At 38.9% G+C, this 23367-nt stretch overlaps 1 protein-coding gene and 1 long non-coding RNA gene across 2 annotated transcripts in view; one reads left to right on the plus strand and one right to left on the minus strand.

Annotated features, from left to right (window-relative positions):
• HEPHL1 (hephaestin like 1) overlaps positions 1 to 23367 on the plus strand; it is a 92855-nt gene that overhangs the window by 41031 nt on the left and 28457 nt on the right. Inside the window, exons 3-10 of the mRNA NM_001098672.2 lie at positions 1124 to 1336; positions 1947 to 2126; positions 5112 to 5366; positions 7990 to 8158; positions 10641 to 10780; positions 10924 to 11055; positions 12790 to 13001; positions 20034 to 20184. Coding sequence (NP_001092142.1) covers positions 1124 to 1336; positions 1947 to 2126; positions 5112 to 5366; positions 7990 to 8158; positions 10641 to 10780; positions 10924 to 11055; positions 12790 to 13001; positions 20034 to 20184 — 1452 coding nt within the window. The remainder of the gene's footprint in view (positions 1 to 1123; positions 1337 to 1946; positions 2127 to 5111; positions 5367 to 7989; positions 8159 to 10640; positions 10781 to 10923; positions 11056 to 12789; positions 13002 to 20033; positions 20185 to 23367) is intronic.
• On the minus strand, positions 4587 to 5128 carry LOC124902735 (uncharacterized). The gene is made up of 2 exons (XR_007062840.1): positions 5051 to 5128; positions 4587 to 4911 (listed from the first exon to the last, which is right to left on the minus strand). It is a non-coding gene; the product is annotated as an uncharacterized LOC124902735 (long non-coding RNA).

Here is a 23367-nt window from a genome sequence, read left to right on the forward strand (position 1 = left end):
AAACATCAAACCACGCTTTCATGGTAGAATTTGTTAAATGGTAACATTAGATTTTTTAGTTTTATCTTTGCTTTGGTTTGTCTTGGCCACACTGGCTCTTGCTGTGTTATTTGAATTTGTATTCCTAATGCCTAGCACATTGGTAGCATGTGTTCAATATTGAATTCACATTCTTGAATGACTGTGTAAATGAATGAATGGCAAATGGATGTGGAATGTGTGCACTTCCATCTCCTTCTCTGTCCCTTACCATCCAGCTTTTTTTTTTTTTCAGTACCAGTCTAGCTCCTCCCGTCCTTTAAGGCCCCTTAAATCTCACCTCTGTTGTAGAGCTTCTGATAACTATAATGTGCACAGACTGGTCTCTGTCCTTTTAGCCAGGTGGTTTTTATCCTATTTTTAGCAGTCGGCTTTCCTTAATTGAAAAATCATGTGCCATCTTGGTTTATGAAACAGAGAGTAAGGGGCTGTTCTGCCCCTGCCCACTCTGTGGTGGACCCTCTACCTTGTATAGCACAGGCATCCTCTGGGGTATGCCATATATTTTGACCCAAAATGACATTCAACACATTCACTTTGCTTTATTCTCCAGTTGTCCCATGTGTTTAATACGTATTCTAGTCTGCCCAACAGAACTATATGATCCCCAGAGGCAGGAAGAATGTCTTACACTTCCTTCCTATCTCTCATGAGACCTACACAGGTGGTGAATCTGAAATAAGTCCCCAAGAAGTGTTTATTCATTATTTCTTCTTAGGCTTCTCCTTCCCTTCTTGAGTCGATGTCAACTGAGGGGAATTGAAATCTTCCTGGTTGATATGGTAGCCTCATCAGAAAGAGTCCTTATTATGAACATTTATTAAGTTCCTAGTTCTGTTCAAAACACTCTGTATACATTGCCTCATTTAGTTCTTATATCCCTGTAGGATAGATATCAACATTTCAGTTTTACTGATAGAGAACAGAGACATTGAGAATTTAAGTAACTTGCCTCAAGTCCCATAGCAAATAAATTTTAATTCAGTTATGTTTGATTCCAAAGCTCTGGCCCTCTCTACTATAGCATGTGATCTCTCTGTTTTAACTATGTTTTACCTTTTTTTTTAATTTTATTTTTTGGAAGGAGCCCTATACCCAGATGGAACATCTGGAAGGAACAAAAATGATGACATGGTTCCTCCTGGGAAAAACTACACCTACGTCTGGCCGGTGAGAGAAGAATATGCACCTACTCCAGCCGATGCCAACTGCCTGACCTGGGTGTACCATTCGCACATCGACGCCCCAAAGGACATCTGCTCTGGGCTAATTGGGCCCCTGCTGGTCTGCAAGGAAGGTAAGGAGCTTTGTTTCCAGGTAACTAGGGAGTTGAAATGTGAATAAGATTCAGGTCTTATTTTGCCTACCTCCTTTGCTCCACACAGAATGTGCCTCTTCCAAATTTCTTTAGAAATTCTGACATGGAAGATCAATCTGACACCATAGCAGAGGGCAATAATTCAGATTTTTGTCTAAGAATCATCACAGCATTCTGAGACTTTATTGTTATTTTAAAAAATGATATTTCATAACACAATGTATAGAAAAGTGAGAAATTTAGTCAAATGACCAGTAATGCCTTCTGCTTCATTATTTCACCCAAATAATCATTTGCTATTTTATCCCTTATTAGTTGACTTAGCATGTCTGTAGTTTGTCAATAAAATGGACTCCCTTTAGAGACAGCCAGTCTTCCAAGTATGTGATTATGAAGATTTCTGTTTTATGACTTTTCTCTTCTATGGCTCTGTCATCTCCATTAAAGCCTTTTGCTGATTTTATATGGTGGGTTATCCTTGTAGGTATAGGTCTTCACCAAACTTCACACTTGCCTGACACTATTGGAAGGAAGCAAAGCTCATCTTGATTTAGTTCTTTCTCTCTACTCTTTTGAATGTGCCTGACAGGTATCCTGAATAGATATTCAGGGACACGGAATGATGTGGATCGAGAGTTTGTTATAATGTTTACTCTTGTGGATGAGAATCAAAGCTGGTACCTCAATGAAAATATCAAACATTTCTGCACCAACCCTGATTCAGTTGACAAGAAAGATGCTGTTTTCCAGAGGAGTAACAAAATGCATGGTGAGTACCTCCCATGTTCCCAAACGTATACCAGGCCTTTTATACTATAAGGTACTACAAGGGATAAAAAATACACAGAAATGTTGATCTGAGTTTGGCATGATTTATAACTCAGGGATGACCATGGTTAGAAAGTGATACAATACATGACACATGTTTGAACCTGAAACAATCTGAGGGGGACAGAGCAGTGGATGCATGCTAAATTGGGCATGCAGTGTGGACAAAGCCACAGGGCTTTGGGAAAATGGAGGGATCGATGTTATATTGTAATTGGAAAAGAATCGGTGCCTGAGGTGAGCCCAGAGCATGGGTGGGCTTAGACTGACTGGAAGGAGAAAGGAGAATGAAATCATCGTTCTATAATAATCCTGTGTTTTGCAACATTTTGCTTCATCCAGTAACCATTTTCTGAGCCGCTGATAAATTTTAAGAACTGAGTTATGCATGGGGTTTAAATAAGCACTTGTGAATTCATTATATTTCCCAGGCATTCTTTACATCAACAAAATTTACTGAGCATGCACTATACATCAGACTCCATATTTGTTCAAAATAGTGAACTTCTATAGTTACTTCATTAGTTGAGATGGGGCACTTACTCATGCCTGTTTTGCAAAGCAGTAGCTTAATGTAGCATTTTAGGATTTTCTTAGAGAGTTCTAGTGAACATAAAGGAAATAGTCAACCTACATATCCCACCTTATTCATTGACATATCTTCTCCTTCTATTGCTTCTCTGTCTCTCAGAATTGTTCTAACCAAGGTATCCTCAATATAGTCATAAAATCATAAGAGGAATAGAAGGAGCTGAAGATCATCTAACGTCTCCATTTTACAGAAGAGAAACTGAGGTCAAGAGACTATCAATGACTTGCCTAAGGTCAAAGTGATAATTAATGCCAGAGAGTTTCCTGAGAGAAGTCCCATAGCAAATAAATGTAAATTTGGCTGTGTTTGATTCCTAGGCACATCAAGGCATGATTGTCAGTACATTGATTATTTCCATTGTATTGCATGCCTTCTTTTTTCCTTCTAGTGGTATTTTGGCAACCTTATGTGTAGTGATTCTTGGAAAATATTTTAGGAGGAAAGGAAGTAAGGGAGAGAAGGAAAGGGGAAGGCAGGGAGGCAGAGAAAACAATGAAGGATGGAGTCAATGAAGACATAAATTCAAATCATTGCTGTGACCAGTTGTAATGCATATCCTTTACAAAATGGGAGTGATGATCTCAAATATTGCAGAAAACTACTAATTGTGATTACTTAAGACTCACCTGCCCAAATAATTCCTCTTACTCTGTATTTATTCTTTTGAAGTGAAAATGTCCAACAAAATGAAATGAATTACATAAGCAAACATAGATTACATGTATCATAAAAAGAAGCCTGTCCAGGCACAATGGCTCATGCCTATAATCCCAGCACTTTGAGAAGCAGGTGTGGGAGGATTGCTTGAGGCCAGAAGTTCAAAACCAGCCTGGGCAACATAGGTAGATCCGTTATCTACAAAAAATTCAAACAAACAACAAAAAAAATCAGCTGGGCATAGTGGCACATGCCTGTGGTCCCACCTACTTGTGATGCTGAGGTCAGAGGATTGCATTAGCCCGGGAGTTTGAGGCTGCAGTGAACTAAGTGCCACTGCACCCCAGCCTGGGTGACAGAGCAAGACCCTGTCTCAAAAAACAAAAACAAAAAACCCTAGCCTGTATGCTGAAGTAGATGTGTGTTTGCAAACAATCCTTCAAGACTGGAAAAGGGTGGGGTATTGTGGCACACGCCTGTAATCCCAGCACTTTGGGAGGCCAAGGTGGGAGGATCACTTGAGGCCAGGAGTTCAAGACCAGCCTGGCCAACATGGCAAAACCTGTCTCTACTAAAAATACAAAAATTAGCTGGTCATGGTGGTGGGCACCTGTAATCTCAGCTACTGGGGAGGCTGAGGCACAAGAATCTTTTGAACCCAGGAGACAGAGGTTGCAGTGAGCTGAGATTGTGCCACTGCACTTCAGCCTGGGTGTGACAGAGCGAGACTCCATCTCAAAAGAAAAAAAAGAGAGAGAGACTGGAAAAAGAGACCTAATCAAGTAAAGGAAAAAATTTAATTAAAAAAATCTAGACTATGGAAGATAATTAATATGTACAAGTTTTATTGATCAATTTATTTAAATTTACTAAAATAATTTAGAATTAATTGTGCTGCCTAAGTCATCAGGCATTTCAGCAACAATTGCTTTTAACTCAGTTCGAACTTAAGAAGGGATATTGTGACTTTTTAAAGCCCTGAATCAAGTTCTTTTCTGAACTTGGTCAACTCCCAGCTGCCATTTAGATGGTTTTAAAGTATTCGGTCCTGGATTTACGCCATAAACTTAATAAGATTCTGCTCCAGCAACATGTAGTAAAAACTGTTTTTCTCTTGGCTTTTTAAAGTAAACAAACAAACAAACAAAACAGTTCTCATAAATTCCTTTTAATCAATTCCTTTTCTTTCCATCTTACTACATGCTTTTGTCACTTCATTAAGTAGATACTATGTGCCAGTTTTTCTGCTAGGTCCTGATAACTGTTAAGATGAACAAGACAGGGTTTCTAGTTCCAAGGAGCACAGAATCTGGTGAAGACAGCAGATATGCCAGTGAAGGATTATGACAGAAGGTGACTGAGCCTCCTGTAAATATGAGCAGCACTCTGTTTTCTCCTGACCTCATATTGCGTTCCCACAGCAGCTCCGAGGCTGTTCTCAGTGTATGCTGATCTTCACTTTTATTGAGTGTTTTCTCTGGAAAAAGGCCAATAAAAACATTTCATTTCTCTTTTGGACAATATATATTTCTAAGAGCCAGGTTTTTCTGCACCAAAACCTTACAACCAATGGTCTGCACTGGTTTTCCAGCCATGCTTAAGCCCGTATTACCAACATTTCTGGTCCCAGTCGCCTCTGCAGGGGAGTCTCTTCCACTAGCGTGTTTCTGTTTCCAGCCCTCAATGGATACCTCTTCGGAAACTTCCCGGAGCCTGATATGTGTGTTGGAGAATCTGTGTCCTGGCACCTATTTGGAATGGGGAATGAAATAGACATCCATTCTATCTATTTCTATGGTAACACCTTCATCAGCAGAGGGCATCGGACTGATGTCGTCAACCTGTTCCCAGCCACCTTCCTTACAACAGAAATGATAGCCGAGAATCCTGGGAAGTGGATGATAACCTGCCAGGTCAGCGACCACCTACAAGGTAAAAAGGATAAAGACCAGAGTTGATATGTTTAGAATGGTACAATCAAACCACACAGTCACTAGTGCTCATCCAGTACCTACTGTTAGATAGAGCCTTGTATGTACTATATTTAATTAGGTAATAAATATACAGGAAAATATAACGCTCATCTCTTTGATATTCTATCAACAGATATTTATTGACCACTTCTGTATGAAAAAAGTGGGGAAGTGATTAAAAATTGATGAGACCTTCGAGGAACCTGTAGTATAGTTGTTAGACATAGTTAGACATTCACAAAATGAATACGATTTAAGGCAGAATGAGATAAATGCTCTTTGGGTGTTGCAGTCACTACTCTGGAGCAATCAGAGGGGCTTCCTGAGGAGCTGGCTCCTAACATGAGCCTTGAAATATGAGTAGGAACTGAATAGATGAAGAAGGAAAGAAAGACTTTTGAGGAAGCAGCATGAACTGGGAAAAACACATGTTCTTTTTGAGCAACTGTAAGTAGAGTAATAAGGTTTTAGCACTGGAAAGGACTTTCTGGATAATAAGGACCAATCCCCCCTCGAATTATTTAATTTCGTTTTGAACATCTCTTGTGAGTAGTTATAGCAGCTCATCTCATCTCTGGACTGCTCTATTGGAATGTTCTTCCTCAAATTGAGACAAAATCCATTGACCTATAGCTTCCTTCATGTCCTATGATAGGTGCATGATAAACATTTGTTGGCTTAAATGCCTGTTGAATGACCTGGTCCTGGTTTCTTCAGACATCATACACTATGTCCTTTCTTAGCTGGACCATAATGTTCCTTACAGAGAAGTGATGACAGAAGAGCCTGGGAGGCTCATCAGGCCCCTTAGCAAAGCTAAGGAGGTGGGGCTGTGTGATCCTTAGCTCTTTTGGCACACTAGTGACATAATCGGTGCAGTTATTTAAGAAGATAAATGTATGCATGCAAGAAGGACTTGATGGAGGAATTCTGACCACTGGATGCTAGTTAAGAAGCATTTGACAGTGTTAGAGGTCTAACACCTAAACGTCTGCCCTAAGATGATGAAACCAAGACAGAAAAAATATGTTAATGGAATAGACACAGAAGAAATAATGTCTGATATTTGGATACTAACTTCCCATAGTCACTAATAGGTGCAAAGATCCAGCTGCTCAGGGCTGCTTTTGTAACACATTCTTGTTCCTGTCCACCTTCCACAGTGAGTCATAGCATTAGTCAACTGCAGTATCCCAATTACATTCAACTGAAAAATTAATCAGTTAATATGTACTAGATGCTCTTCTGGGAAAACAAAGATTAACAAGAGAAGGTTTCTATTCTCAAAGAGTCTTATGCTGTTAAATCTGGGAAGAAACTGTAGATTTAAAATCAAGATATTAGCTGCCATTTGAGACTAGTAAGATCGCTAAATTAGCCCGATAGTTGTGGACATAAGCTAGTATTTATACGTTCCCTGAAATACAGTATTTCTAAATTGTCCATGCCTTCAGAAAAAAGTTATTGTAAAAAAATTAGAAAATACATATAATTGGAGGTTTTTTAACAAATAGAGACAGGGTCTTGCTATGTTGCCCAGGCTGGTCTCAAACTCCTGGGCCCAAGCAATCCTCCCACCTTAGCCTTTCAAAGTGCTGGGATTATAGGCATGAGCCACTGGATCTGGCCCCTATAAATTGGTTTTAAAATCAGTAGTTCCATAATAGAAATATTTTATATTCACATTTTGGTGAATATCTTCCCTATTTTCTATTTCTTAATATGTAAATATATATGTATTTTAAAAAATGAAATCAGTCTATTAATGCTGCACTGTAGCTAATTTTTCTCATTTACAAATATATCAGAAACACATTTTCATGTCGGTGAATATAGAGCTTACTTCATCATGGTTAATACTTCCAGTGTCCATTATAAGGAGATTACATCTTGCTTAATCAATACTCTATTGCTTAATGCTTATGTTTCCCACCAATTTTTTTGCTATTATAAACAGCACTGATGACTATTATTTATAGATGTTTGCACTTTTGTCTGAACATTTTCTTAGAAAAACTCCTAGATTTAGAATTTCTGGGTCAAAGAGTATGATTTTTTTAAAAAAGCTATGGACATACATTGCCACATTCTCTTTTGGAAATTGTTATTCTTCTACACGAAGTGTATGAGTATGGCTCTTTCCCCATTCATCTACCAACACTGAGAATTATTAGTCTTTCTAATCTTTACTAATCTGATCAATGAACAATAGTATCATTTGAAAACTGTTAAGGTTTGAGTACTATTTGAGTACTGTTAAGGTTGAACCTCTTTTTCATTTGTTTATTGGCCAATATTATTTATTTTGTGAATAAACTATTTCTGTTCCTTGCTCATTTTCTATTGGAGATTTACTTGTTTTCATCTTTATCTGTAAAAGTGATTTACGTATTAATCTTTTGTCATATGTGTCACAAATATCCCTCCTGTTGCCATTTATCCTTTTTAAAAAAACTTTCTTTATGGTCCAATTTTCTGTACAGAAGCCTAAATGTTCAAGAGCCAAATCTATCAGTCTTTTCCTATATGATTCCTTTTGTGATCATTTATGCCTCAGCTCGTGGTTTTCCTCTGTTCTGCAGCTGGTATGCTGGGGCAATACAATGTTGATAACTGCAAAAGTGATATTTTCTACCCCAAGATGAAGGGTCAACAGAGGCGCTACTTTATAGCAGCTGAAAAAATTCTTTGGGATTATGCTCCTCAAGGCTATAACAAATTCAGTGGTCTTCCTCTAAACGCCTCTGGCAGGTAAGCACCCTTTGTTGGTGTTTCTAAGCCTCTCGTCAGAGAAGCATGTGTTAGGCTTTCTCTGTGATCTAATTTGTATTCCAACCACTGCTCTGATGAGCTTATACTGCATAGATGGCATAATGTAGCTGCTTAAGGTGTTCTTAATACTGCAAAAGCACTGCTGAGAACTGGTAGAATATTTTTTGTTTTGTGACTTGACGGCTGAATCAAAACACTAGATCATTCACTCATTGATCAAACATTTCTTGAGTAGGCACTATGTGCAAACTATAGTGCAAAGTGCCATTAGAAATACTAAGCTGACAAAGAATAGAGTAAGGCCTTTACACATATGGAGCAGACAGTCTTGAAGAGGGAATGACAGGAGATGGAGATGACCTGGCCTAAGAGGGTTACCCTTTTTGGTTCAAGGATATCCTGATTTAAGTTGTGTCCCCTTTATGTCCTACAAATATTCTTTTCCTTTCTATTCAGTAAAATGCCATTTTTCTTTCAAAGCCTTACTCTAATGTCACCTCTGAAGTGAAACCTTTGACTCTTGATATAAATGAATTATGTTCTCTCTGCGCTCCCATAGAATATACTATTTAAAAAATTAATCTAGCAATTTATTAGGTGGATCTGGACTCCTGTGACTTGTTAGTATATAATCATATGCAAAGTTGTCTGTGAAGATACTAAAAAATGTACAGTGTGATATCAAGAATCCTTTTTTATATTTAAGGGAATGTTTTAAAAATTCTCTTTGTGATCAATAAAACATCATTTGTTTCTTTAATTGTACATTTTATTCATTCATTCATTCATTCATTCATACTTTCACTCATTATTCTACCAAACGGATGCACTTGAACCCTGTCTAAAGAATTTGTGTGAACCATATGTGAAAGACTCTGATATCAACATTCTCTATTGACTAGTATTTCTCCATAAACAGAATAATGAGAATTAGCATTCAAAATTGTCTTAGGAGCCTTCTAGAATTCTGAAGTGCCTTCTGAAATAGGAAAGATTAAACTATATTCAATCAATGTTTAATGTGATATATGAAAGCACAAAGTGCAAGATGACATGAGGGATGCAAGGATATCTAAAGCAATAAAATGCAGAGGAAGAAGCTGGGTTCACAAGAGTAGAGAAGTAACTGCAAGTTACAAATAAAAGTGAGGTGAGTTGTCCTGGTAGTGAGTTATCTGGATGCTCAGAGAGAGCTAAGCTGGCCAGGGAACACATTATAGAGGAAGTGAGACTTAAGCAAAATCTTAAGGAGTGATAGAATTTATTTAACTGAATAGGGAAGAGAGGAATTTTAGATGGAGGGGTTGATGCAAAGCACCTGTGGCATGGGAGGAATGAACAGATGAGACTGCAGTAACAATTTGCATAGAAGAATGGGCACTGGCATGGAGAAATAGAGAATTGGGGTAAACGGGATATCAATTGCAGAGGTCCTTTAATCTTTTTGAACATTATTTGATTGGCAATTGGAAGCAATTGAAGATTTTGGAGCAGGTAAATAGCAATAACAATTGCCATTTTGGAGATTAATGTATTAAGTGAAAAAATAAGCACAGTCTTGGCCATTGAAAGTAATTTGTAATCACGGTCTTGGCCATTATGACCATTATGGCTTACTTTTGCACCAATCTAATAGTTGTGTGTCTATGCTGAGAAGAAAAGTGAATGAGCCAGTATCAGATAGAGGATGCAGTTCAGAGGTTCATATAATGGGCTCCACCCAGTGTGATTAGGGCATGAACTGGGGTCGTGGTAGTGGGAAGAAAGGAAAAGAAAAGATGCACAAGGAGGATAGAAAAGGAAGAGTGCCAAAAAATTTTACAAAGTAAGGATGAATGAGTTAAGGGAATGAAGCAGAAAAAGAAAATCTACGTGGCTGCAAGAGTGATGGCACCATTGATGGAAATAAGATAGTATAGAGACAGTATTAGTCAGAATTTATATTATCATATTCACGACTTGGAAATTTTGCATTTCATGCATATGGTTTATATGGTAGCCCTCCAATAATTACACTATTTGATTAACTAGACACTCCATTCCTTAATAATGCCAGAAATCAAAGAGCTTACTAGATGCAGAGAATATTCATATTAATATCAGCAAGAGAGAGAGGGATGCTTATTCTGCAGAGAAACCAGTTAGCTCTTTGTTACTTTGTAGAACACCATTCTGGAACTCTACTATTGGTAAATAAGGAGTTTACTTGTGACTGGTTCAGTGCTGGACCTCTTGGGAAGAAAGTACAATGGCTGAGAGAAATGAGCTTGAGTATCACCCAGCCTCTGAAGACTTTTAGGGCTGGTTAACTATTCCTGGGAACTCTGTCAAGGCCTGTGCTGTCTTTTCTGGGGACATGGGTGGGCGAGTGGACTAAAAGTGATAGAATGAAGTTCTATAATTAAAGTATTTGGTGGATATGTTGAGAAGTGTCCTCAATCACATTCCTATGTCTTTTCAGTGACTCTGATCTCTACTTCACACAAGGGGACAACAGAATAGGAGGAAAATACTGGAAGGTTCGGTATACTGAATTTGTTGATGCAACTTTTACTAAAAGAAAGAGACTCTCTGCTGAAGAAGCCCATCTTGGAATTCTTGGTACAGTAAAACCATCCCCCATGCATTGAACCCAGGGAGATGTTTTAGCTGGGCATGTACATCTGCACAGAATGACTCTTCTGCTTTACTTCTTTCTGTCTCTTTTCATTCTCTTCTCTCTCTTCTTCTGGATATTTTTTCAGGCCCAGTCATCAAGGCAGAGGTGGGTGATACCCTGTTAGTGACCTTTGCCAACAAAGCCGACAAGGTCTATAGCATTTTACCCCATGGTGTGATCTATGACAAGGCATCTGATGCAGCCCCAAACCTAGATGGTAAGTCTCACTCTGGGCTTAGGGAGGAAACAGGACGGGTGAGCAAAGCACTTAGAAATAAACAGTCCTGGTTCAAATCCTGGTCCTTTCCATTACCTGCCCTGAGAGCTTGGGCAATCACTTAAACTTTCTGAACCTGATTCTCTCCTGTCAAATGCAGATAACAATACTCACCTCACAGGGCTTTGGAAAGGGATGGAGAGAATTTAGGACAAGGTCTGGCCCATGGTAGGTTCTTAGGAAATGTTCATTTCTTTCTTTTTTTCTCAGCAATATAGTAAATCTCAAAAGTAAGCTACTTTCACAGTCACTTCTTTTTCTCTAAGATGGAGAGCTTTTCAGTTGCAGGTTGCATAGGATTCTGCAGGTGAAGGCTGAAGGGAAAATTTGATTTCTAATGGTTTGTTGACATCGAAATCTTACACATGGTCTTTGCTCTGTATCAAATCAACAAATATATTTATAAAAAACAGTAATGTGTGCTTATCATCTGATATGGCCTCTCCCCATCACAGAGTACATGGCATAGGTTCTCTAAATGTAAGAAAGGTAGCTGTTGCCCAGTGGCTGTGGGAACTCTAATCCATTCATGATACTGCTCTTGGGAAACTTCTAGTTCCTTGGTACTCATCCCTATTACTGCAGCAGACACCCTGGCTTCCTGGGATACTCTTCACACTCGAGTGTGATGCCAGGCCCAGTTGAGAACAGGTTTTGTGGTGATAGTGAGGGGACAGAAGAGAAAGGAATGGAAGAGAATTCCCTCTCCCTGGACCCATCCTCACCCTCTCTTGCTGCGGTAACAATTCCTAAAACCATCCTCTCCTCTTTGGTCAAAATACCAAAATGGCTGCGTGCAGTGGGTCATGCCTGTAAGCCCAGCAATTTGGAAGGCTGAGGCAAGAGGATCTCTTGAGGGAATTCAAGATTACAGTTATAATCATGCCACTGTACTACAGCCTGGGTGACATAGCAAGACCTTGTCTCTTAAAAAAATAAAAGAAAAAAATGCTCAGAATGACTGTGTGTGTGTGTGCAGAAAGAACACTAGAACTGACAAAATGTTTGTTAACTCAGCAAACATACTGGGCACCTTTTTGCAGAGCACTGGATAAAATGCAGAATGAGCCTCTGGCCTTGTCTAGTAGGAAAGAATCAATGTGTTTTTTGGCAGTACGGTGTAAGGGTTAAGTGCACAGTCTTTGGAATCAGACAAAAACTGAGTTTGAATCCCAGATTTGCTATATATCAATGTCATAACCTTGGGCATTCACTAAACTCCTCTATCTTGTAGTTATTTGGATGATTTCCAAGTTCAGTCTCCTATATTTCAAACTCTTTAAAGATAGGTTTCTTGCTTAATTCTTTTGGGTATCTTCTGCAAGACCAAGTGTAATATATTCTACATAGAAAGCATTCCAATGATATTTTATGAATTTTCACTTAACTGTTGAATGGGCCACTATCAGTCTTTTAATATTTGCTAAGGCTGGCATTTGAGCAAGAAATTGTATGGGATTTATGAAGAAGATAATCCTTTGATTTAAACTTTTATCTCATAAGCCAGCAGATTGTGGCAGTGGCCTCTTCTGGTAGGATACATAAGAGAAAACCACTCTCCTGGTACAAAATTCTTCATCATCAGAGGGAGGCACCCAGGGCTGGAAGACCCAGTCTGACCAATGTAATGTTCTTGCCTGTTGTTTTGAATAATTGTTTTGTTTATATCCTCAGGATTTGTGAAACCAGGGGCGCATGTTAAACCAGGTGAAACCTTCACATACAAGTGGACAGTGCCTGAGAGCGTAAGCCCAACTGCTGGTGATCCTCCCTGTCTGACCTATCTTTACTTCTCAGCAGTTGATCCAATTAAGGACACCAGCTCTGGCCTGGTAGGGCCTTTGCTAGTCTGTAAAAAGGGCGTCCTCAATGCTGATGGGACACAGGTAGGCCATTGAGTGTCACCAGTTCTTCTCAGGGTTGTATGTGGGAGAGATCCGCAAGAGCCAGAGACGAGACAGGAATAGTCAGTTACAAAAAGCAATTTGTCTTTCTTCCTCTTGAAGTAGATTTCTACATAATGGAGATTTTATTTGATTTTCTGGTGAAAATGTAAGATCTAAATTTATAGTTACAAATGCCCACTCAGGAACCTAGAATCTCTGCTTGTTGTGGTTAGGATTTGGCAGGCCTCTTTTTCTGTGTGCTGCTTTTATTACAGAATCTTTAGAGATCCACATGGAATGCTAATTGGAATTATTCTTCTTGGACAAGGTTTCTCAAATCAAAATTACTTGGGGACCATTTAAACATCCATTATTCAGATACTACAGACTAATTAAATCAGAATCTCCAGATGATTCCAATGTGCAGCCAACGTTGAGAACCACTGTGACCCACAACTGTAAAATGAAAGTTAATCACTATGGCTGAAGGAAAAAGAAAGCATTTAGATAACTTCTTGCAAGTCCCAACTTAGAGATTTGAATTGTTCAACTGATTAGTGTAGCGAAGCATAGCCTTTCAAGCTATGTCTACATGATATTAAACATATTAATGAAAAGAGAAAAACAGTCATTTAAGCATCTATTTTACCAATCAGAAATAGCAAGGACATTTATTTAAATGGTATATTTTATAATTTTTGGCATTGTGTGGCTCCACTTCTGGACTCAAAGGAATTTCCAGATTTAAAAAACACAAAATATCTTGATCCTATTTGGATTTTCCTTTCTCTACATGAAGGAACAATCCCGGAAATGTCTATTGCATGTGTTATAAGACTGAATGTTTATGCTGTGCCTCAACAAGCACACAAGGCAAAGCGGAATGATTATTCATATTTTAAAGCTGAAGAAACTAAGGCTCAGAGACATTGAGTAGAATTCCAGGAAATACACCTAGTAAGTAGTGAAAGTTGGCAGTAAAACACAGGACCTTGAACATCCAACTTTGTCCTTTTCCAATGCATCCTCTTGCTTCCTCGCAGCTAAATACCTAAGCCAAGGAGATGTAGTGCCAGAAAATGTTTGAAAGGTAGTGCTAATTTTGCCCCCGCTGTGTCCGTTTAATGGTACCTTTGAGGTTTGCTAGAAGCACCTCATAGTCTGTGGGAATTGTTGCCTAAGCCAAATACTATTCATGGTCAGTCCACTTACACAAAATTCATGAAAAAAAAAAAGTACCCTGAAACATCCTATACCTATAACTTGGCTGAGAGAGAAAACCATTTGGCCAGATGGAAAGGTATGTTCAATTCAAGAGTTACTTATGAAATACCTGCTATGTGCCAGGCCCTCTATAAGCAAAATGGTCAGTCTTCTTCTAGGCAGGTGGAGAGATGAAAATGGGAATAAGTGTTTGCGTCTCTTTCCAGTAAATTGTCATAAATTCTCCCAGTGGTGAATGGTCAGGTACAGAATGTCATTTACTAACACCCCTAGTCCTCCACACTAACCATTCAGTCAAACTCCCTACTCCCATTCTGTTTCTCTCTTTGAATCCACCTCTCTATAGATCTCACACTTTTTTGGAAATAATCTGACTTATGAAAAAGTAGAAAAAATTTACAAAGAATCTTCATGTACCCTTCACCCAGATTCATCAACATTTGATCTCATTTGCTTTATTATTATCTCTCTTTGTTTTTATGGGTTATTTTTCTGAACTGTTTGAGAGTAGGTTGTAGACATAATGTCTTTCAGTGTGTGTTTCCTAAAAACAAGGACCCTCTCTGACATAAACAAAGTAAAATTATCTGAGTCAGAAAATTAACGTTGACATTATCAAATCTACATACATTTTAAAATTTTGCCGATTGTCTCATTGATGTTCTTTATAGCAAAAGAAAAACATGTTTTTCCTGGTCCTGGGTCTGATCTAGGATCATGCATTGCATTGAGCTGTCTCCTCTTTCCCCCATGATTAATTTCTTTAAATTTTTTTTATTTTTAATTTTTGTGGGTACATAGAACTTGTATATATTTATGGAGTACACGAGATGTTTTGGTACAGGCATGCAATGCATAATAACCACATCATGGAGAATGGGGTATTCATCCCCTCAAGCATTTATCCTTTGTGTTACAAATAATCCATTTATATTCTTTTAGTTATTTTCAAATGTACAATTAAGGTGACTATAGTCACCCTCCCCATGATTAATTTTATCACAGGGCACCAGGCATGATTTTTCTAAAGTGCAAATGAGATCAAGTCACTTTCCTGTTCAACACTTCCAGTGGTTTCCTGTCACACTTAAAACAAAAATCAACACTATTTAGACATGCCCCAGCCTCTTGTTCCCACAAGTGGGCACCACGCTCCCTCATGCCCACTTATGCTCCATCCACATTCTGTTCCTCTCTCAGGCCAAGCTTGTCTTTGGCTTTGGGCCTCTGTACCAGGCTCCTTATGCCTGGAATGTCATCCCCTGACCTTTGCGTGGCTAGTTCTTCTTGTCACTCCTCAGAGAAGCCTTCTCTGATCACCAGGCTAAGGTCACTTTCTTTTATATCACCTGATTTTACTATCACTTACCACCATAAGACAGTTTCCTTGTTTATTTATTTGCTTATGTGTATAGTATGTTTCCTCCTACAAGAAGATAAGTGCAATGGAGCAAGGACCTTGCCTATCTTATCTTCCTTTCCCAGAACAATGCATGGCACATTGTTGACATGCAACAAATATTTCTGGTTGGATAAATGCAATACAGGGTAAGTACTCTTATCCCCAAGGTTAAGAAGTTTAGTTAGCAGAAAATGCCATATTACACACATCTTAAACATTGTGTGGCCTGCAAACAAACACTGAAAATTCCAGTGCAACCTCATTTAGAAAACTCATTTTCCTTATCCACATTTCAATACTCAGAGTTGTGTAATGGGTTATGGTTTAGACCTCTCACCTTTCTTCCCTGCTGCTGTGGGAGCCTACTATGTACTAACATATACTGTTCACAAAATAGCTGTGTGCTGCAGACACCAGCCACTACTCAGATGTTCCATATATATATATATATATATATATATATATGGAGAAAGAGACACACAGAGAGATATTTATTATGAGGAATTGGCTCATATGATTATGGAGACTGATAGATCTCAGCACCTGCAGGCTGAGTCAACAGGCAGAAGACCCAGGAGAGCCAATGGGGTGGCTCCAGTTAGAAAGCTGACAGGCTCGAGAACCAGGAAGAGCCAACATTTTAGTTTAAGCATGAAGGCAAAAAGAAGCCAATGTCCTAGTTCAAGGACAGTCAGGTGGGAGAAATTCCCTCTTATTTAGAGGAAGGTGAGCCTTTTGGTTCTTTCTATTCAGGCCTTCAACCAATTGGATGGGGTACACTCATGTCGGGAAGTACAATCAGTTTTATTCAGTCTACTGATTCAATTGTTAATCTCATCCAAAAACATCCTTTCAGAAACATCCAGGATAATGTGTGAGCAAAAATCTGGGCACACTGTGGCCCAGTTAAGTTATTCATAAATTCACCATCACTCAGGGTTCTGTCACCTTCCTTCTAATGTTTTCTTGGGCTAACTTCCCACCCTCATTAAACCCAGTTACCCTCCAAATACCTGTCAAGCAATGAGGTTCTTCAATGCAACTCCTTTCAATTGTTCATTCTTCTACTATGGATGATTGCAGTCTCACCTAATAATAACAGCACTGAGTGCTTAATATTTGTCAGTTGTTGCGTTGAGTGCTTTAGCTAAGTCATCTCATTTAATCTTCACAAAAAACATGATGTGGGGACTCCTATTACCCTCACGTTGCAAGTGAGGGAATTAGGGCTTAGAGAGGATAAATCACTTGCTCCAGGCTTCACAGTGGGTGAACAGAAGAATAGCATTAGAACCTAGGTTTTTCTGTTCACATAGCCCATGATCTTTTAAAATATATTTTGATCCTTTATGTTCTTCCAATTTTTAATATTTTATTCTGAAAAATTTCAAGTCTTCATTGTTTTCTTCTGTAGCTCAAGCTTTTATACCACTGCCTTCTAAAGCATCATGTAATTAAGGAAATAACTATATATAAGGAATAGTAGGCGCAAGGAGTACTCACCTCGTTGATGAGGAGTTAGGAAAGCATCACAGAAGTGGGCAGCTAAGCAGAACCATGAGGTTGCTTAGTGGTTTGCAAGAGAAAAGAGTGGCAGACTATCAAAGCTGAGGGAATACATGCATGAAGGACAGAGGGATGCAGAACACAGCAAGTGCAGAGGGTGACAAGGAGCTTGGCCTTGCTTCAAAGTGCCAGGAGGAAAGAGTCAAGAGATGAGGCTGAACAGGTAGGCAGGAACCGGAATACCATTAGATGAGACTGTATTGTCCAACATAAGGAGAGAGATATGGTCAGATGACATTGCTGAGGGTCCCTCCAGAGCATGCAGCAGGATGAAGGTGGCTTGGGTGGGGAGCATGTTAGAGACAGGAAAGCATTGAGGGATAGAAAGGATGGTCACCTCCATTCTTCACAGAATTAGAAACAACAACTTTAAAATTCATATGGAACCAAAAAGGAGCCCATATAGCCAAGGCAATCCTAAGCAAAAGGAACAAAGCTAGAAGCATCATACTACCCGACTTCAAACTATACAACAAGGCTACAGTAACCAAAACAGCATTGTACTGATACAAAGTCAGACACATAGAGCAATTGAGCAAAATAGAGAACTCAGAAATAAGACAGCACATCTACAACCATCTGATCTTTGACAAACCTGACAAAAACAAACAGTGGGGAAAGGATTCCCTATTTAATAAGTGATGCTGGGAGAACTGGCTAGCCATATGCAGAAAATTGAAACTGGACCCCCTTCCTTACACCTTATACAAAAATTAACTCAAGATGGATTAAAGACTTATGTGTAAAACCCAAAACTATAAAAACCCTAGAAGAAAATCTAGGCAATACCATTCAGGCCATAGGCACAGGCAAAGATTTCATGATGAAAATGTCAAAAGCAATTGCAACAAAAGCAAAGTGTGACAAATGGGTTCTAATTAAACTAAAGAGCTTCTGCACAGCAAAATAAACCATCATCAGAGTGAACAGACAACCTGGAGAGTTGGAGGACATCTTTGCAATCTATCCATCTGATGAAGGTCTAATATCCAGAATCTACAAGGAACTTAAACAAATTTAAAAGAAGAAAAACTCATTAAAAAGTGGGCAAAAGACGTGAACAGACACTTCTCAAAAGAAGACATCTATGCAGCCAATAAACCTATGAAAAGAAGCTCAACTTAACTGATCATTAGAGAAATGCAAATGAAAACCACAATGAGATACCATCTCACGCTATTCAGAATGGCAATTATTAAAAAGTCGAGAAATGGCAGATGCTGGCAAGGCTGTGGAGAAATAGGAACACTTTTACACTGTTGGTGGGAATGTAAATTAGTTCAACCATTGTGGAAGACAGTATGGTGATTCCTCAAAGACCTAGAACCAGAAATACCATTTGACCCAGCAGTTCCATTACTGGGCATATACCAAAAGGAATATAAATCATTCTATCACAAAGATACATGCATGTATGTGTTCATTGCAGCACTACTCACAACAGCAAAGACATGGAATCAACTGAAAAGCCCATGTCTTTTGACAGGCTGGATAAACAAATTGTGGTACACGTACACCATGGAATATCATGCAGCCATAAAAACGAATGAGATCATGTCCTTTGCAGGGACATGGATGGCACTTGAAGCCATTATCTTCGGCAAACTAAAGCAGGAACAGGAAACCAAACAATGCATGTTCTCACTTATAAGTGGGAGCTGAACAATGAGAACACATGGACACAGGGAGGGGAACAACACACACTGCGGCTTGTGGTGGTAGGGGTGGAGGGAGGAAGAGCATCAAGATAAATAGCTAATGCATGCTGTGCTTAATACCTAGGTGACAGGTTGATAGGTGTAGCAAACCACCATGGCACATGTTTACCTATGTAACAAATCTGCGCAGACTGCACCTGTATCCCAAAATTTTAAATTAAATTGAAAAGAAAACATAGTCATCTCTCTGGTCAGTTCTAAAGGAAAGCATACTGCAGCGATCTGTGATGCTGTGTGATCAGATAGGCTCAAATAGACTGATTAGGAATACATGCTGTGGGAAGTCATATCCATTGTCCCCTCACTATCCACTCAAGTTAACATAATTTAGCTAAGTCTCGTCAGTTATATGAATTCATTATTTCACTCAAAAATGTATACTTGATGCCTGCTTTTCCAGGCATTTTTCTTGGTGATGCAGGTACAGAGAGGAATCCAAAGTGTTCCTATCCTCATGAAACTCACATTGCAGTAGGAAAAAGTTAAAAAAAATAACTTCATAAATAAAATAGTTTCAGGTGGAGATAAGTGCTGTGAAGAATAAAATAGGGTAAAGTGAGTGAGTTTCTGGGCAGAAGATGGAGATAAGTTTAGAAGGATGGTTAGGGAAGACCACTCTGAGGAAATGACATGCAGAAAAGTGAATTGAGGAAGGGAGTTCTTCAATTCATGTTCCACAACACATGGAAAGACCCTGAGGCAGGAATGAGGTTGGTGTGTTCGTGGAAGGGCAAAAGGCCAGGGTGTCTGGAGCAAGCTAGGAGGTGAGTACAGGGAAATGAAGTCAGAGAGAGAAGCTGGGCCAGGGCTGGCAGGTCAGGGTAAGGAGAAAAAGTCCTTGAGGACCAGCCTGGCAACAGAGGCCAAAAGAGTAGAAAGCCTTCTAAGCAGGGGCTGATTTCCTTGGAGGACGGATGTAACAAGAAAGACAAATTTTCTGAGTGGGGAATAAATTCATCAGAGCAACATTCAGTATCTTTATTTAAAAATGACCTGCGAACTCTTGGGCTGATGTTGATCTGCCCTGACTTATTAATATTTTGTGTGAACTTTGAAGGAAAGCAATTCTGTGAATTCCTCCAAGCTGTACCTTTTATGTATTCATTTCTTTCTTCTCTGTAGAAAGGAATAGACAAGGAGTTTTACCTACTGTTCACAGTCTTTGATGAGAATCTGAGCAGATATTTTGATGAAAACATTCAGAAGTTTATCTGGCATCCCTTCAGCATTGACAAAGAAGATAAAGAGTTTGTGAAATCCAACCGAATGCATGGTATGACAAATGACATTCCCGCCTGTAAATGAAAGGCTGACTTGCATTAGAAGTGAAAATGATTGGTGTGTTTGAATTATATTAATTTTGGTTTCTTGGATATTGTTCTTGGTCATGAGTAAGTTATTTCATGCCTTCAGCTTTAGATGGTATGGTGAAACCTCCCTATCTCTCAGAGATGTGAAATTTAATACTTCTAGAGCACTTTATCAGCCTTAGATGAAGGAACACAAATTTTAAACTAGCGGCCAGGCACAGTGGCTAACACCTGTAATCCCAGCACTTTGGGAGGCTGAGGTGGGCAGATCACGAGGTCAGGAGACCAGCCTGGCCAATATGGTGAAACCCCGTCTCTACTAAAAATACAAAACTTAGCTGGGCATGGTGGTGCGTGCCTATATTCCCAGCTACTCAGGAGGCTGAGGCAGGAGAATTGCTTGAACCCGGAGGTGGAGGTTGCAGTGAGCCAAGTTCGTGCCACTGCACAGCCTGGGCGACAGAGTGAGACTCCGTCTAAAAAAAAAAAAAAAAATTTAAACTAGCCAAGTTCACAGTATATCATAAATGTAGAAAATTACTGACAAACTACTCTCCCTTGGGTTCACAATAACATTAAGTCTGAAAACCAAAGTGACAATAGGAGATAATCATTACATAGCAAAGTGTCTATAATTAAGTAGTATGAATGATTTAATTAAGTAGTATGAGTGACTGGTGAATGTTAATTTGTGAAACACTAGCTGTTCCTATCCCAGATCTTCATTTGAGAGGAATTACTTAATTCTCTCTCCCTGTCTCTTTGTATCAAGTGTTACAATAGCAAACCACCTGCTAATTGCTTGTGAGTAACACAGGATGTCATTACTCTTAGGCATATTACCTAAGGTAGCAGAGTAATGAGAGTCCAAACTCAATGCCTGCAAGAGTGTGCAGTCAATAAAAGTGCCCGAAGCAAGTAACGTAAGACAACAGGTGCTAACCTGCTTGTTTTAGGACCCAGCATAAAATCTATTTATTGCCTTTTAAAGCATTATGGAAGAATAACAAAATAGCCCTTAACCTCCCTTCCTTGCATGGAAGTAAAAAATAGTCCAAGGTTACAAGTGCCCCATGGCAACCAGGTCACAGACCCTATGGTCCCAGATGCTCATTTCCAACAGAGTCCCCTCTTGTGCCAATGGAAAGCATGGAGTAGTACATTTCAGTGTCATCTTCTACAAAAGGTTTTGCTGTAACTGAATATGAATATTGTTTCCAAACTTCTTAGTAGACAATATAAAGGGGAAATTAAGGTGGAAATAAGGAAATATAGCAGTTTCTTGGTGGAGAAACTAAATTGTAAAAGAAATTTATCATCAAAGAGGTTGGTCTTCATTTAAAAAGATAATAAACAACTGAATGAACTACATCAAATCCAGCCCCACCCTATTTTGGCAATGTGAAACTACTTTCATATTTAGAAATACAATATATAGTCCAGGCACTGTGGCTCATGCCTGTAATCCCAGCACTTTGGGAGGTCAAGGTGGGAGGATCACTTGCATCCAGGAGTTCAAGACCAGCCTGGGCAACTTAGTGAGACCCCATCTCTACAGAAAATACAAAATTAGCCAGGTATGGTGGTGTGCACCTGTAGTCCCAGCTGCTACTCAGGAGGCTGAGGTAGGAGGTAGGAGGATCTCTTCAGCCCGGGAGGTTGAGGCTGAAGTAAGCATAATGGCTCCACTGCACTCCAGCCTGGGCAACAGGGTAAGACCCTCTCTCTGTTTAAATAAATAAATAAATAAATAAATAAATAAATAAATAAATATATAAATACAGGATATATCATTGTTAAAACAAAGTTCAAGGCAAATAATGCATCTTAATTCAAATGTCACATTAATTATAAACTAAGTTCTAGCTTCAGTCTTGCTTGCAGGGAGTGGAAGGAAGACAGCAACAAAGCCAAAAAGAAAGGGCCTGACATGGTGCACAATGCTTTGTGTTGTGTTTATTATATAGTCTGTATTCAAAATATGTTTATTGAAAGAAAGAATGGATGAGTGACTGTTGTAGAAAGAGAGGCTTTAAACAAGCATTCCAAGGCAAGAGAAGATTCTCTACCAGCCAGCCAAGGACTGAATTTATTAGCACCTTGATTTATACTCAGATTTCATTAACATTTGATGGACAAGATTTAGATCATTTATTTGCAAAGACATTATCAAAGATTTTTTTTTCATAAAATGTGGTGTCCTTCTCAGAAGTGCCAGAATTTCTTGGAATTTCTACCAATAATCCCAGATCTGAGTACAATTACCAAGCACCACTGGTTTTGCAGACACAGAAATATTAGGATAGTACAAAAGTAATTGCGGTTTTTGCAATTACTTTCAATGGCAAAAACTGCAATCACTTTTGCACCAACCTAACAAAAAGTAATTTTATTTGACAATGGGATTATAACAGAAGGTCACTCATGTGCATGATAATAGTTCCTTCCTGCTATAGGCTTAGTAGAGAGCAGGAGGGGGGTAGAAATATTTATTTCTCCAAGAAACATCAAGCATGAGACACAATTATGTGCATTTACCAGTCAGACATTGCGTTATATCATGGCTTTCATCCCCATGGGGTGAGAATGCGGTTTCTAAATTCTTGTCAAGGCACTTTTTCAGATAGCCACTATCAATGGATTGGGGTTGATGTCAAAGATAAAAACAATTTGCCACTCTGGAAGCACAGAGGGTCTTCATATCTAACTAATCATTATTTATTAATAAAGTCCCTCCAGTAATTGTACTGGGGTAAGGAAGTACGAGTTATCATAAAGCAAATTTATTTACTCAAAGACTAACCTCATATAAGCTTAAGTACCCCCTAAAAAACAATCCTTCTCCACTAACTGCATATGCACATATACTGTCAATTGATTTAAAAATCTTTCAAATAATGCTGAATCCATGTAATCAGTAAAAGCATGTCTGATAACTTCTAGAATCAAATGCAAAGCCCACTGGCAAATGAGGGTCTTGTAGAATTCAATGAATTAATAACTGAGGAAGAGACATTTAACAAGGGAGATCATAGGAAAATAACCACAAAAGAAAAAGATTTTCATATCGAGAGCCTTAGAGAAGAGTATGGGGAAATTATTTCATAAACAATCTGATTTATCCCTTAGTCATTCTTAGAATTAGT

The sequence above is a fragment of the Homo sapiens genome, chromosome 11 (genome assembly GCF_000001405.40).
Source record: "Homo sapiens chromosome 11, GRCh38.p14 Primary Assembly".
NCBI classification, from domain to species: Eukaryota; Metazoa; Chordata; class Mammalia; order Primates; family Hominidae; genus Homo; species Homo sapiens.